We start from the raw sequence: 16761 nt of genomic DNA, 5'->3' as shown, positions 1-16761 counted from the left end.
GCTATGATTTTTATTTGTTTTAGCCACATCCTTTTCACTGCACCACTCAGCTAAAGGTGCTTTAAATTAGATGGCGCTAGGAAACCCTCTTCCTCCCCCCTTCTTCCCCTGCCTGCCACGCAGGCCCACAGTCTTCAGTCAGTGTGAGATGTATAATCATGTCATGCTCAAATGTAACTGGAATAAATTGAGACAAATAAACTCAAAGGCACCACATGCATTTAGAATGCTCTTTGTCAGGGTTTCCTAATATGCTTGCAGGCAGCTAACTCAACGCAAACAAAAAGTGGCAGTGTTTACCCAGCTTTGCTTTGGAGCATGTTGAGAGCCTCTGACTCACAGATCGCTGCTGATTGAATCTGCACATACATTGGTGTTCACTGTCCCCCAGCTAACTTCCTTCCCTCTTCCACACTCCTCCCTTTCCCAGGTGTCCAGGCTGAACAGGGACTTGTTTGGGGTCCTCTGTTCCTCTCCTCTACCTGTCTTCAGTAGGATAGCACAAAGATCACAAAGGCCTTGAGAGCAGAGATGGGAAGTGAGAACCGTGTCTCACTGTGAGGACCCCAGGACCTTTGTTCAAACAAAGCAAAGCAGCACCTGGCATGGCCGGCCCGTTCTGCTCAGCGTTCAGGAGCGAGCTGCCTACCAGAAACCTCCTCTTTGGTGCTCTTGTTAAAAAAGATGCCTCAGGGCACCTTTAAGGGAAGATCTGAAATGAACCTCTTACCTTCTAAAACCTTCTTTCTTGGCCAATCTTGTTCCATGACCGGCCACATGGCTGTGGATTTACTGGCTCTCTGGACCCTCACCCTCCCATCAGGGTGCCATCTTATCCATGTCTCTGATTGAGGGACACACATGTCAGCTCTCTGCTCCTGCACTGCCAGGCACAGCCATGATGGTCTCAGAGCCATTGGTCCCCAGCACAGAGGGGAGCTTCAAATGGTACCATGATGATGAAGGTGGTAGGTGCCTAGTAGCTACGGACTTTGGATTATATCCATTTCCAATGATTAACAAGAAGCCCCTTTAATTTTAAGCATGTACTTTTTATTCAGAAATAAGGTCCCACTCTGGCACCCAGGTGGGAGTGCAGTGGTGCCGTCATGGCTCATTGCAGCCTCAACCTCCCAGGCTCAAGCGATCCTCCCACCCCAGCCTCGCAAGTAGCTGGGACTGCAGGTGCACCATCATGCCTGGCTAATTTTTTAAATTACTATTTTAATAGAGATGGGGTATTGCTATGTTTCCAAGGCTGGTCTCAAACTCCTAACCTCAAGTGATCCTCCCACCTCAGCCTCCCAAAGTGCTGGGATTACCGACGTGAACCACTGTTCTGGACCAAGTATGTACATTTATAAATAACACCCATTTTCCTGTGATTTCCTTAGCTTCACTCTATGAACTGCTAGCTTGTCATGCCTCCCTGTCATATTCTCTGACAGTTTCCAGCCTTATGCCCCATGGGTGTCTCTCTCTCTCTCTGTCTCTCTCTGCTTTCTTTAATTCCTCTTTGGCTGCCAAGAGTTCATTTTCTCAGCCTGTGACAGCACCCCATGTTCCCCAGTTTCTTATGGGGAATCACAGCTCCCCTGCTACATTTAGTCTGTTGGGAGCACAATTCTGGGTAATCAGCTTCTACAGCAGAAGTGACAGGGTCTGAGCAGCCTCTCACTAGATTTGGAAGAACTAGAGAGCAGGTCCGGGTGGCCCAACACCCAGCCCCTAATGCCATGCACTTCCTGCCCCCTGAGTTTCATTGATTCCACACCTGGCATCCAGCCCTCAAGTCCATTTTGGAAGCATCCTGTCCCTCCCCCCAGACAGACACATGCACTGGTTATCCTTTCAATAAAACCATCTGGGATGGGATCCAGTCTGGAAGGTAAATCTTAGAAACCTTTCCCTTGTCTTCTTATGCATCTCTTTGGAATTCTTACATCTCAGATCAATTCTGCTAGTTAACACTTCCCAGGAAAGTCACCATCCCCTCTGACGTCAGAATGTATCAGGAGAGAGTCTGTGGCAGGGAGAGTAACATTCCTCAGCATTCAACCCAGTCTCCACATTGTCCTGCGTTCTTACCACACAGCCAGAGCAGGAGCATGTGACTGGTTCTGGACCAGTTTGGGCAAGAGTGGTGTGTGTCACCTCTGGGCCAAAATACAGAAGAAACAGTGCGTGAGCCCCCAGGGGTCCCTTCTGCTGCTCTACTCTCCCAGATGGTAGAGTCTCGATCAGCCTGGGTCCTGGGTGTCTCGGTAGAGCAGAGCCCCTGCCGACCTCCACAAAACACGTAGCCTGAAAAAGAAGTCAATCTGTGCTGGGTCAGTTTCCAGGACACCAGGATTGGCTCCAACGTGTTCCTAATATCAGTAATTTCTATGTCTTGGCTAAAAATACCTTGCCCTCCCCAAGGAGACAAAAATACTCTCTATATGTCCTTCTGGAATTTTTCAGGTTTTTTTTTATTACACCTAAATCTTTAACGCAGCTGGAATGTATTGTGTGTATGGAATGCATTGTACATATGAAATGTATTGTACGTATGGAATGTATTGTACGTATGGACTGGCAGAAAGATGTTACTTTTTAGGTAACATGGTTTTCTCTATGGAGAGCCAGTGATCTAAAATCTTGTATTCAATTCTCCCTACTTATTTGAAATGCCACACATGTCAAATGATAAATTCTGCCACATACAGTCTCCAGATCTGGAATCTCTGCACAGGGATCAGTGCACTAACTGGAATTACAGTGCCTGTTGTCAGTTTTGGGGAAGTTACTTAGCGTGTTCACCAATTCTCCTCGAGCCAGTGCCTACTCTGGACATTCATGATACAAAAGGGCAGGGCTGCATTCCAGGTGAGCGTGTGTAGGAAGGCATGAGAAACCTTGCAGGGAGCAGACACTGGGGGGAGGTCGGGGAGGGCCAGACGGACCAAAGTTTTCCTGAGAAAGGTCAAGGGGACTTGCCAAGCCCACCTGATGGACAAAAATTGAGAGCAGAAGAGGGCAGAGCCCATCGGCCCCTGAAAATCTCCAGCTCCAGGACCAAGAAGCAGAGTCCTGGAGGCACCATCCCTCATGCCAGGACATCGCTTGAGACTGTTGAGAGGCACAAGCCCAGAGGCTGGGCGCGATGGCTTACACCTGTAATCCCAGCACTATGGGAGGCCGAGATGGGCAGATCACGAGGTCAGGAGATCGAGACCATCCTGGCTAACACAGTGAAACCCCATCTCTACCAAAAATACAAAAAAAAAAAAAATTAGCCAGGTGTGGTGGCACGCACCTGCAGTCCCAGCTACTCCGTAGGCTGAGGCAGGAGAATAGTTTGAACCCGGGAAGCAGAGGTTGCCCTGAGCCAAGATCATAGCACTGCACTCCAGCCTGGATGACAGAGCAAGACTCCATCTCAAAAAAAAAAAAAAAAAAAAGAGAGAGAGAAAGAGGCACAAGCCCAAATCAGACCCGCACTGCTCTCCGGCGCCTTCCAGACACTGATAGAGGCCTGGGCCATGGTCCACGCGGGGGACTGAGCGTGGCAAGAGCAGCTGCAGGTGCAGCCATTGTTGGCCAGTATCCCAGGAAACCCCATGCTGGCAGCCCACAAAGCCATGGACTGACGACTTCCCTTTTCAAGATCAGCTGTGTCTTCTCTTCCTCAGGCCACCACTCTTTCCAATAACAGGGTAGAAAAAAACCCTTGATTTAAAAAAAGGCAACAGGACATGCTGGGCAAGTTAAATCACTTAATATTTCAAAATATTATTCAACCACAATAATTGTAGCTGTCTAAGAGAATCTGCATTTGTGTGGTTCCTTAAACTGTACTCTTTTTTTAATATAATTTTTTTTGAGACAAGGTCTCACTATGTTACCCAGGCTGGTCTGAAACCTCTGGGCTCAAACGATCTTCCCCCCTCGGCCTCCCAGAGCACTGGAATGACAGGCATGAGCCACCACGCCCAGCCAAATTGTAGCCTTTCTTCCTGTCTTTAAAATTCACTTGACTTCCCATTCAAAATGGCAGACTGAAGCGTTTACATCTTCTGCCACAAATCCCATTAAATTAACAAAGTAAGTATGGAACTATGAACATATTTCCTAGAGCACTAGAAATAGAGAATGTTGCCTAATTCTGGAGGATGTAAGTAGAACCTATCACACCGACGCCAGAACAAAACGGAGGGAGAAGCCAAGGGCAGCACCGGCGTGGGACGGGCTTTCCCTGAGGAGCCTCAGCAACAACTCATGCGTGGCAACATTTGTGACTTTCAGCAGGAAGGGGCATGGGACTGTGATGGGGCTCACAGCAGACCTCCTGGGACCTCTAGAATAGATATAGAGAGCTTGGCTGAACCACCCACCCTGCCCCCGACCAGGCTTCAGCTAGCGACAGCTCCCTAAGTCATGGGGTGACCTGCCTGGGAGCCATAGTAAGAACCTGCGGCCACAGAAAGACACACGGAGTGCCCGGTCACCAGCTTGACAAAGGAAGGAAACAAAGGCTTGGGAGGGTGCAAAGTCACCCCAGGATAAAGCCTCCTAGGACATCCTAACATCCAGGATATTCCAGTAATTTTGCTTAGTAAAAAGTGACCCAAGAATTGCAGTTCAGGAACCAGGGGATCCCACAGGGCCAACCTCTCCCTTGGCCCCACGGAGCTATTGGCTGAACAAGCACAAGCCCCAAGCTCCATTCTACGCAAGGGGAAACACATCCTGCTCCTTGGAGGAGCCTGAAAATGTACAATGTGTCCAGCGGAGCCCAGGGCAACTCCAGTCCACGAGGCTCGAGTGGTACCGATGAGCCAGGTGTCAGCCCTCACTTCCTTCCCCTTCCCCTGGCAGAAGCACCTTAGAGATAGGGCAAACTGATCACTTGTGCCCAACAAATGAAGGCCAATGGGTGGCCTGAGCCCACAGTCAGCACCGCCCAGGAGCCTGGACAGCCAGCTTCTGGGGTTCACACACCCGCTCAGGAGAGAGGGCATGCGTGCCCATCGGTTCTGCCCGCCTGCCCCTGGGGGCTGCACCATGACCAACTCCAGCCTCCCGGGTCATCTGTCACTCCAGCCATCCAAAAGAACTGCCAAGAAAGGGGAGCTTCAGCCAGCTCTTGAGGTGGGAAGTGACGGGTTCCAAATTGCCTTTTAGGAAAATATGCACCAAGAAAGGATTGGACCAGGCTGGATAATTCCTTTGCTTGGGATCTCAGGGGATGAGGGGTTCGGGAAAGCCCGAGTTGTCAGGGAGGTGCAGATTCGAATCTCAGCACTGACTCTGACAAGCTGTGTGACTTCAAACAACAACCCACCCGCTTTCTGTCCAACAGGGACGGAAACGCCACCTGGCCAGGCCCTTCAGGGATGTGACCGCAGTGGGCCCAGCCTGGGGCAAATGCTGTGAGATGGCACCACATCATGTTGGCATGGGCTGCAGCCCCTCGTGAACATTTCCTTTTGGTCCTTGTTAGCTGGTGCCTTTGGGTGAGTTTCATGGTGGTGTCTCATGGTGAGTATCAAGCACGGCAGCAGGGAGCCCCCTCCACCCGCCCCACTCCCCCAGGACTCCAGGCTCCCCTCTCACCAGTTGTACAGAGAAGACGTCAGCCCACAGAACCATGTGCTGTGTAAGCTCCTCACTGCAAACACCCCCAAAGGTCAGAGACCAGGGGACCCACAGGAGAGTGAGAGGCCTCCGCCTCTGAGGTCAGGCCTCTGACCATGGCCGTGGGTGCTGTGATGCCCTGCATGGCTCTCCTCCCCCGGGAGGCCCGCCCGGCTCAGCTCTGTCTATGGGGAAGGCCACAGAGCTCCGGGGGCTGGCTTTCCTCAGCCCCGAGTAATTACAGACATGTGTCTGCACATGTCACTGGTCAGACTCCCACGACCCCGCAGTAGATCCTCATTAACCCGGGGACTTGAGGACTCTGAGAGGAGCAAGGGGCCGAGAGGAGAGAGGGAGACCTGGGCGCTGGCAGGGATGGGGAACCTGCAGAGAGGCCCAGACGTCCTGTGCCCATGCTGATGGGCAAGGTATGCCACCTGCCCCGCGAATGACGAAGCGGGAGCCTGCCGCGGGACCAGGGACGGGCGCGGGGAGCCTGAGCAGAGCAGGTTGGGGAGCCACAGCGAAGAGTTTATGAGCCGGCGTCCAGCCCCTCCCCTCTCCCTCCTGAGCACGGCTATTAAACTCCTTCTGGCCTCCAGATGCGCAGTCTGCAAGCTAGTTCCCTTTTGTTATTTCAAGCTCAGGGCCTTGATCTTTTGCCACTTTGGAAGAAGCGGAGAAACAAAGGGATCTGGTGCTGTTGCTTAATAGCGCGGCTGGCTTGGCCCCACCGGGCCGGCATGTGTCTGATGCTCTGTGCTGTCACTGCAGAGCCATCCCTTTGATGGGAGCAAGGCAGGGACCCGGCCCAGGAGCCCTCTGAGAGCCGCTCAGCAGCTCCCTCTCCTGTTCCCGCAGGCCTTCACCTCATGCATGGGTAGCCGGCCCACTGTCTTCTCCTCACCGCTTAAGAGTGGCCGCTTAGAGACAAGAAGTAGATAATGCAGAGCGCTTGGGGTCCCCAACGGATTGGAGCACAGTGCAACCAGTCACCAGGGCTGCTGGGCCCTCAACTGCACTTCACTCAAGCTGAAGGTGCAGCGTCCCCCGCAGGTCGTGTTAGCCCCCTACCCTCCTGCAGCATGTCAGGAAGAGCACTGAACTAGGAGTCTGAAGGCCTGCGTTCCAGTTGCCTGCATGCCCCGGGGCAGGCTGAACCTCTGCTTGCCTGGTTGGCTTCTGTGGCACTGGCTCTGAATTCAGGGCTGGGCCCAGATGGGGACGCAGCAGACACTTGCTGAATGATGAAAATCCCAGCTCTGCCATGAGGAGCCATGTGACCGGGGCCAGTTCCTTTTATTCTTCATTCTCTCCCTCCTGTATTTACACACCCCATAAGAACCCTGATCACCTGCTCCATGCCAGACAGTAAATGGATGCCACCCCTGCCCTCAATTGTCATTAGTGTAACAAGGGCTGTGACAGAGACCCTGATGGAAGGACACTGGGGTGCCCACCAGAGGGAGGAATGGGCGTCAGGATGGCAGCTTCCCAGGCTGACACCCACCTGAGCCCAAAGGATGGAGGGAGTTTCTCAAGTGAAGGAAAAAGGAAGACCAGTTAAGGCAGAGGATGAAGCCTGGGGGTACCTGGAGACACAAGAGATTGAGGACATTTGGGGACCACTCAGGAGCCCGTGTGGCTAGAGCGAAAACCTCAAAGAGGCAGAAAAGAAGATTTACTAAAGGGGACTGTACATCCCCCTGAGAGCCCAGGAGCCATGCAGGGCAGACAGTAGGGAGGGGACCCACCTGCAAAGTGTGAGAGGCTGACCGGCCAGTTGGGGGGCTGCAGGCAGCAGCTAGTGCAGAGGCTGCTGTACCCCAAAATGGGAGGGGGGCCACAGCCGAAGAGGAGGGGGAGGCAGCTCTGAGAAGAACGGGGAAGAACAGTCACCAGGACCTGGGACTGCACACCCCTGAGCAGGTGGTGGCATGCGGGCCCCTCCAGACAAGGTGCCTGGCAGGAACATGAGTGCCATCTGGGAGGGGCTTTGCTTTGGAAGCACTTAGTTTACCATGACTGAAACAGGTGGCAGGAATGACCAGGCAGAGGGCAGGCGGATACAGCCAGCTGGTGTCAGACGTCAGGAGGGCCGTCTGGGCCAAAGGCAGGGGAGGAGGCCACAGCAAATGTGGGGAAGCAGAGCCTGGAAATGGAGGGACCCAGGGCAGCCTCCACACTCAAGGGCCAGGCTGCAAAGTGGAAAGGTCCGCAGAATGCCAGGATAAGGTCTTCGAGACTGGCGTGGCCCATCCTGGGGAAACAGCGTCACCTGTCCCCCTGCTGCTACTGTGGGAGGGGAAGGTCTCAAGATACACGACCACAGGCTCCCACCACGGAAACACTCTTGCCCACACCGTGCTCCTGCAAACCCGCTCCTCACCCCACATTGTCCCAGGCCTGAGGGTGCAGGCTGTGGCCACATTTTCCCGAGCCACAGGCCTGTGCAGTGGGATCCACAGAAAAAGCCTTTCCAGATGCCTTTGGTTTGCACAAGGTGCTGCCACTCTCAGATCAAGGGGGACAAAGCCCTGGGCTGGGAGTGAAAGGCCTGAGCCAAGTCTGACTCTGCCTCTGGTACACCAGTGACCATATCTTTCAGCCTCATTCACTCTGCTGGATGTTAACACACATGAGCACACCCACAAAGGGCTGGTGCAAGTATCAGTTGGGTATGGAAAGGAATGCTTTGTTCATTGTTAAAATAACATGAACATTAAGGATGTTAAGAATGTTTAAGTTCATCATCACCACCACCATCACTATCATCACCACTACCATCACTATCATAATCACATCACCATCACTGTTACCATCACCAACACCATCACTGTCACCATCACCAACACCATCACTCTCACCATCACCATCACCATCACCACCATCATCGCCATCACTATCACCATCACCTTCATCACCACCACCATCACCATTACCATCATCATCACCAACACCATCATCACCACCATCGCTATCATCACAACCACTGTCATCACCACCACCATCACTATTACCACCACCATCACCACCATCACCATCACTGTCACCATCACCATCACCACCATCACCATCATCACTGCCATCACCACCATCACCATCACCACCATCACTATTACCACCATCACCATCACCACCATCACCATCACTGTCACCATCACCATCACCACCATCACCATCACCACCATAATCACCATCACCACCACCATCACATCACCACCATAATCACCATCACCACCATCATCACCGTCACTTTCACTGTCACCATCACCATCATCATCACTGCCATCACCACCATCACCATCACCACCATCATCACCATCACCACCACCATCATTACTACCATCATCACTATCATCACAACCACCATCACTATTATCACCACCACCATCACTGTCATCACTATAATCACCATCACTGCCATCATCACCATCATTATCACCATCATCACCATCACCACCATCACCACCACCATCACCACCACCATCATCACTATCATCACAACCACCATCACCACTACCACCATCATTATTACCACCATCATCACCATCACCATCATCACCATCACCACCATCACCATCATCACCATGACCGTCACCATCACCATCACCACCATAATCACAATCACATCACCTTCATCACCATCACCACCATCATCACCATCACCATCACCACCACTGTCACCATCACCACCATAATCACCATCACCACCACATCACTGTCATCACCATCACCATCACCACCATAACCATCATCACTCTCAAGTGGTCTTCCTGTGACAGAGAACATGCAACTCTCTGAGTCAGCCCATCTCATTTATGGACAGTTTTGCTAATAGCTATTTGCTTCTTTTGTTTGTTTGTTTGTTTGTTTCCATTGTAATTCGCCTTCCCATCTATATGGTCTGTTGGGTGTTGCTAGAATGGGTGTTGGATAATTTATTATTTAAAAAAAAAACAGGTTTCTTTAGCCCATGGTTGTACAGGCTGGGAAGTTCCGGGGAATGGCAAGCTTCCCCCACCTCTCTCTGGGAGTCACAGCAAGGAGACCCTGCCTCCCTTCTCCCCCTGTGATCAGGGTGCAGGGCGGTGTGACACAAAGTCCCTGCTTTGTGTCTTTTCAAACACAGAATAGAGAAGGGGGAGCAAGTGTGCTGGAGCTCCAGGCCTGGCTATATTATTTAGACTTGTATCAACTTGGCCATGTCATTTAGCTTGTCTGAGCCTGAGTTTCCCCAAATGGTTATGTTGAGAATTAAAGGAGGCCATATGACTACCTGGTACACAGCCTCACCCCCAAGAAGAGCCTAAAAATGTGTATATCCCTGTGAATTCCACTGAGGGAGGGCAGGTTCCAAGGAGGAGGACCACAGGGAGAGCAGTGCCTGCTGCTGGGGTCGCCTCTGTGGCCCAGGGTTGCCGGTGGCTGGGCCCCCAGACGGCAGGGTCACAGGTGAGTGAGAGTTCTGTGAGGTGGGGTGGGTGGGACCCCTGGGACCGGTCAAACCTGGCCTGAGTAAAGCCTCCCCACAAGCTTTTGCCAGGGGCCCAGCCAACCCTCACTGGGTGCCAAGCCAGGCCTCTTGAAATGGCAGCAAGGAAAGACTCATTCAAGGTAAGAAGGAAAGCCAGGGCTAAGAGACAGCGGCCCCAGCATGCAAAAGGCAGGGTATACAGGTGCCTGGCCAGCTGGCTTCCAGTCCAGGCCACATCACTAAGCACCAACAGACTGACATACCCACCCTGGGCCTTGGCTTCTCGGCCTTTAACAGCAAGGCCAGACCAGCACTGCCCATGTACCAGAAGTAGCGTGTGCACGCACGTGTGAGGAGGTGTGTGCACAAACCTCCAGGGAGGGGCTCTGTGATCTCCAACAGATCACCAGGGACCCAGCACTGAAAACTGAACACAGACTCCAGTGGTAGATAATCCCCAAGAACCTCCAGGTTTAGTGGCCCAACCACCACGGCCGGTGCAGAGTCCCTGGGTGGGAGGGGGGTGAGGGGGCACCTCCAGAGAGCAGATCCAACCCCTGAGCAGCAGGGTCTCCACAGGACGGTAAGAACACCCCAACTTCTCCTTTGCTCCCTCTGGATAAGAAAGGCTACAGGATCTTTGTCCAAATAGCACAACGAGGCCAAGGGTGGAGATGAAAGCGCTGAGTTGGCATTGCAGGAATAGTTCCTGATAGGCCGGATCTCAAAGTTGGATGTTTGATTGATGAATTCCTCTGTGTAAAAATAAATAGCAAGACGACCCAGCTCTCCACAAAGAGCAGAGTGGGAGGAGGAGCTGCAATGTGCCCCCCACATGACGAGCCCAGGAAAGCATGTAGGTCTGCATGTGTGTGCAGTGCGTGTCTGTGTAAGTAAATACACCAGCGTGTGCGTGAAATGTGTTCTCACATCAAGCGTTCCGACCCTCCGTTTGCCTGGGGAGGCGGAAGTGCTCAGAGTGAAAATCAGATGCAGACATGTGTATGACAGCAAGTCCAAGTCTAATTAAAACAAGCTTCCCACCTCTCCTCTCCAGGAACTGAGATGACCCCTGCTGGATTCTCAGTAGCTTCTGTAGGTTTGGTGCGTTTTTAAAAGGAGCTAACCATTATCCCATCAAGTACATCGGACGAAGTGTGTATGTTTCCATTTAAACCCCCTGAGTCTAAGATGGTATTTAATTCTGTGGAAACCACTGAAATCCTGCAGGATTCTGAGGAAACAGTCTATTGATTCACGTCAGTCCTTCCCAAACCTCTGACAAAACGAGAATTCTTTCCCGATGAGCCTCCCACCCCCGTAGCAGGGCGGACGCTTAGATGAAGCAAGAGCTTTGATGTGAGAGAAGTGCTGTCGCTTGAGCCAACAGACACAGCTGCCCCTTGAAGGGACCAAGGAGATTTCCCATAAACGAGCTCCGGTAAATTCCAGGGCTGAGGCAGGGTTTTGTTTCACCCTGGATGGCGAAAGAAAGAAAGAAAAATGGCATAATGCTGCACACTTACCAACATGTCATACATTCTTACACAAATCGCACCACAGAACATACTCCCTCTTACCCACTACTACCAAAAATAAAGAAAAGTTCAAGGATGCTGAAATCACCAAAAACCACCAGCTCATGACAGACACCCTAGAGCAAACCCGCTGTGGGGGTGCACAGAGAACGAAGTCCGGACTAAAAGGAGCCGCGGGGCCCAGGCATACAGGACAAGGACTTTTGCTCTCTCTAGTTTGGGGCAAATGGAAAACCCATATGAAACTCCCGTCACTCCAAGATGAGTAAATAAAAGAATTCCAGCACCTTAAGCTATACAAAACTTCAAAATGAAAATACAGCAAAGTAAAAAAGCAGATAAAGAGAGCACTTCAGAACATGGCAAGAAATTAAAGTGGAGACAAAAACTGTTCTCATATTCTCAAGTCAATGAAAGAAAACATGTAAAAATTTAGACATGTAGATATCTTTTTCATCTAACTTTTTAAGTACCTTATATATGTATATATGTTTATTTATATACATAAAGCACATATTTATATAAATGTTTATATAAATCATATAAATATATATGCAAGTACTGTACATAATCTTACCTAATCCTTAAATTGAATTAATAGTCTTATTTCCATTTTACACATGAAGAAACTGAAGCACCTGAAATTGAAGTCAATTGGTAATTATAACAATAAATATAAATGGGACAAATACACTGTTCCAGTTTCTATTTGCTGGGTAACAAACCATCTTAAAACTTAGCAATATAAAAGCCATTTTATTTATGCTCACAATTCTACAGGTCAGGAGTCAGGGCAGGCACAGAGAGGAAAGCTTGTCTCTGCCCTACCATGTTGGCAGACTCATTCTGCTGAAATAGGAGATAGCAGGGACAGCTCAAGTCGTGTCACATGTGTGGGCCTTGATTCTTCTTGACATGGCATCCTCTGGGGATTCTCAGTAACTTATGTAGATTTGGTGCATTTTTAAAAGAAGCTAACCATTATCCCATCAAGTATGTATGATGAACTGTTTATGTTTCCATTTGAACCTTCTGAGTCTGTGAGGGTATTTAATTCCATGAAATCCTGCAGGATTCTGGGGAAACAATTTACTGGTTTACATCAGTCCTTCCTGAACCTCCAACAATGCAGTTCTTTCCCGACAAGTCTCCCAGTCCTGTAGCTCTGGATGGATGTTTAGATGAAGCAAGAGCTTTGATGTGACAGAAATTACCAAGGTGACTTCTTTTACTGCCGGTCTAGTGATCCTAGCACCCGGGATGATATGGGTGGAATAGCTAGGGTCTGGACAGCTCGCTCTCTCTCTCTCTCTCTCTCTCTCTCTCTCTCTCTCTCCAAGTGGCTTCTTGACATGGCTAGCTTGGGTTCATCATAGAATTGTGGCCTCAAGGTAGTTGGACTTCTCACATAATGGCTGCCTACCCTCATCCCCTTTCAAGTGAGCACTAAGATACCAAAGTAAAAGCACCAAAGTTTCTTCAGTCTAGCCTTAGAAGTCATGCAGTATCAAGTCTCCTGCATTCCATTGATCAAAACAGTCATAGAGCCTGTCTAAATTCCAAGGGAAGGGAACCATAGACCCCAACTCTTGAAGAGAGGACTGTCAAAGAAGTTGTGGCCATCTTTAATCTGCCATTCTTATCTTTTAAAAGAAAAAAGTCACTCAGAAGTCAGGAAAGGCTGCAATGCTCTGGAGGAAACCAACTGAAGAAAATAAACAATGCACTCCTAAATAACCAATGGTTCAAAGAAAAAAATCACAAGGGAAACTAGAAAATACTTTGAACTGAGTGAAACAAAACCACAACATACCAAAACTTACAGGATGCCACTAAAGCAGTGCTTAGAGGGAAATGTCTAGCTATAAATGCTAGATCACAAAAGAACAAAGATCTGAAATAAATAATCTAACGTTCCACTTGCAAACCCCAGTGGTAGATAATCCCTAAGAAAATAAGAAAAATAAGAGCCAACCCAACTGAAAACAAGCAGAAGGAAGGAAATAATAAAGATTAGAGCAGAAATAAGAGAAACAGGGAAGAGAAAACCAGTGGAGAAAATCAATGAAACCTAAAAGCTGGTTCTTTGAAAAGGTCAACAAAACTGACCAACCTTTAGCTAGACTGACTAAGAAAAAAGAGGAATGACTCAAATGACTAGAATCAGAAATGAAAATGGGGACATAACTAAGGACCCTGAAGAAATAGAAAGTGTTGTAAAGGAACACCATGAACAATTATACACCAACAAATTGTATAACTTAGATGAAATGGACAAATCCCTAGAAAGACACAAACTACTGAAGCTGACTCAAGAAGACAATGTGAATAGACTTATAACAAGTGAAGAGATTGAACTAGTAATTCAAAAATTACCCAGAAAGAAAAGTCCAGGCCCACCCAAGCTTTATCACTGAATTCTGCCAAACATTTAAAAAATTAATATGAATTCTTCACGACTCTTCCAAAAAACAGAAAAACCGCAGGAACATTTCTTAACTCATTTTATGAGGTCACTATTACCCTGATGCCAAAACCAGAAAAGACATTACAAGAAAACTACAGACCAATATCTCATATGAATATAAACAAAAAAATTCTCAGCAACATACTAGCAAACTAAGTCTGCAACATATAAAAAGAGTTACACATACACCCATGGCCAAGTGGGATTTGTCCCAGAAATGCAAGCTTGGTTCAACATCTGAAAATAAATGAATATAATACATCATATCAATAAAATAAAAAACAAAAGTCATATAATATTCTCAATAGAACCAGAAAAGGCTTTTGACAAAATTCAACACATTTTCACGATTAAAAAAAAACACTCAACAAACTAGAAAACAGAAGAGAACTTCCTCACTTAATAAAGTGCATCTACAAAAAACTTACAGCTAAGTTCATACTTGACTGTGAAAGACTTGATGTTTTTCTCCCTTATATCATCAAAATTGATACCTTTTGTGCTTCAAAGGACACCATCAAGAAAGTAAAAATAACTCAGTGAACTGGAGAAAATACTTACAAATAACATGTCTGATAAAAGACTTGTATTCAGAATACATAAAGAACTCTTCTAACTCAATAATAAAGACAAATAACCCAATTTTAAAATGAGTTAAGAAGATTAAGTAGACATTTCTCCAAACCAGAAATACAAATTGCCTGTAAGCACATGAACAGATACTCAGTATCACTTGTCGTCAGGGAAACACAAATCAAAACCACAAGGAGATACCACTTCACACCCACAAGGATTTCTAGAAATCCAAATGTTCATCACCTGACAAATGGATAAACCAAATGTGGTCTGTCCATACAATGGAGTATTATTCCACCATAAAAAAGAATGAAGTATCAATACATGCTACAACATGGATGAACCCTGAAAGCATTATACTGAGTGGAAAAAGCTGGACACAGAAGGCTGTATATTACGTAATTCCATTCATATAAAAGGTTCAAAACAGGGAAATCTATGGAGACAAAGTAAATTCGTGGTTGCTTAGGTCTGTGGGGAAGGCTAAAGCTAAGGAGGTGGTAACTAAGTGTTGGGGGTGGGGGGGGGGGTCCTTGTTCTTAGAGCTCCCAAGATGGTGGTGGGCTCCTTACAAGATGGCAGCAAGCCTCTTGTTTGCTGACCTGGGGTTCTTGGCCTCATGGATTCCAAGGAATAGAATCTTGGGCCATGCGGTGAGTGTTATAGCTCTATTAGAAGCTGTGGGTCACGGAAGAGAACCGTGGAACCCAGCAACTAGTGTTCAGCTCGATTAGGACAAAGCCGGGCACTTAGCCGTGCAGAAACAATGGCGAGCCTTTAGCCCGATCAGGAGCGGCAATGGGTGCCTCACTGGATCAGGAGCACAGCGGACACCCTGCCGGATCCAGAGGGGTGGAAGTCAGCGGCAGATCTGCGAGGGCGGCAAACAGCAGTGGCGGACAGCGAGCGAAAGCTCAGCTGGAGCCGTAACAAACACGGACCAGAAGAGTGCGCAGTTGCAAGATTTAATAGACTGAAAACAGAGCTCCCATACAATGGGAGGGGACGCAAAGGGGGTAGCCATCGCTGGCTCAAATGCCTGGGTTTATATCCCGATCATTGTCCCTCCCCGTGTGCTCTCAGGCAACAGATGATTGGCTATTTCTTTACCTCCTGTTTTAGCCTAATTAGCATTTTAGTGAGCTCTCTTTACTACCTGATTGGTCAGGTGTGAGCTAAGTTGCAAGCCCTGCGTTTAAAGGTGGATGTGGTCACCTTCCCAGCTAGGCTTATGGATTCTTAGTCGGCCTAGGAAATCCAGCTAGTCCCGTCTCTCATAAGAAGAATCAAAATGTTAGCAAATGAACCATGATGGCAGTTGCACAACTCTGTGAATGTACAAAAAGCACATAATTGTATTATTTAAAGGGGTGCATCTTAGTCTGTTCAAGCTGCTAGACCAAAATACCAACAACTGGGTAGCTTAAAAACAACAGAAATGTATTTCTTACAGTTCTGGGAAGTCCAAAATCAAGGCACTGGTAGGTTCAGTGTCTGCTAGGGGCCCACTTTCTGGTTGACACATGGCACCTTCTAGCTGCGCCCCCACGTGGTGGAAAACAGGAAGAAGACTAGCTCTCTGGGGCCTCTTTTAAAGGGGTACTAGTCCCATTCACCTAATCACCTCCCAAAGACTCCACCCCTAACACCATTACTTTGGTGATTAAGTTTTCAATATACGAATTTTGGGGACACATGGACATTCAGACCACAGCAGACTAAGTTGTATGAGATATCAGCTTAGACACATGTGGTGAATTATATATCAACAAAGCCATTATTTTTTTAAAGTCATAGAACCTTTCCAGACTTGTGGGGAGTTGGCAGTTGACCCCACCTCCTGATAGAAGGAATGTCAAAGACTTTGAGGCCATCTTTAATCTGCCACACTAAACTTTTTAAGGAAAAAAACACTCAGATTCAACCTTCTTGAAAATCAGCACTGTGATTTAAAAATTACAGCCCCTGCTGGGCGCGGCGGCTCACGCCTCTAATCCCAGCACTTTGGGAGGCTGAGGTGGTCGGATCACCTGAGGTCAGGGGTTCAAGACCAGCCTGGCCAACACGGTGAAACCCTGTCTCTA

At 48.6% G+C, this 16761-nt stretch overlaps 1 long non-coding RNA gene across 1 annotated transcript in view, besides 2 other annotated features; it reads left to right on the top strand.

The window, feature by feature from the left end:
- LINC01107 (long intergenic non-protein coding RNA 1107) overlaps nt 1-16761 on the top strand; it is a 44810-nt gene that overhangs the window by 25723 nt on the left and 2326 nt on the right. The gene's annotated exons all lie outside the window — the stretch shown is intronic.
- Nucleotides 6356-7264: an enhancer, noted in NCBI's record as "H3K4me1 hESC enhancer chr2:239431154-239432062 (GRCh37/hg19 assembly coordinates)". NCBI's record gives its function as "activates a minimal SCP1, AML or CMV promoter by ChIP-STARR-seq in primed H9 embryonic stem cells {active_cell/tissue: H9 hESC(primed)}" and the evidence as "EXISTENCE:reporter gene assay evidence [ECO:0000049][PMID:30033119]".
- Nucleotides 10947-12146: an enhancer, noted in NCBI's record as "MED14-independent group 3 enhancer chr2:239426272-239427471 (GRCh37/hg19 assembly coordinates)". NCBI's record gives its function as "activates an origin of replication core promoter dependent on BRD2, BRD4, P300/CBP and CDK7 cofactors, and independent of MED14, by STARR-seq in HCT116 cells {active_cell/tissue: HCT116}" and the evidence as "EXISTENCE:reporter gene assay evidence [ECO:0000049][PMID:35650434]".

Source organism: Homo sapiens, chromosome 2, assembly GCF_000001405.40.
Source record: "Homo sapiens chromosome 2, GRCh38.p14 Primary Assembly".
NCBI lineage: Eukaryota > Metazoa > Chordata > Mammalia > Primates > Hominidae > Homo > Homo sapiens.
The sequence above is the reverse complement of the archived record's forward strand: the minus strand, read 5'-3'. Positions and strand labels throughout refer to the sequence as shown.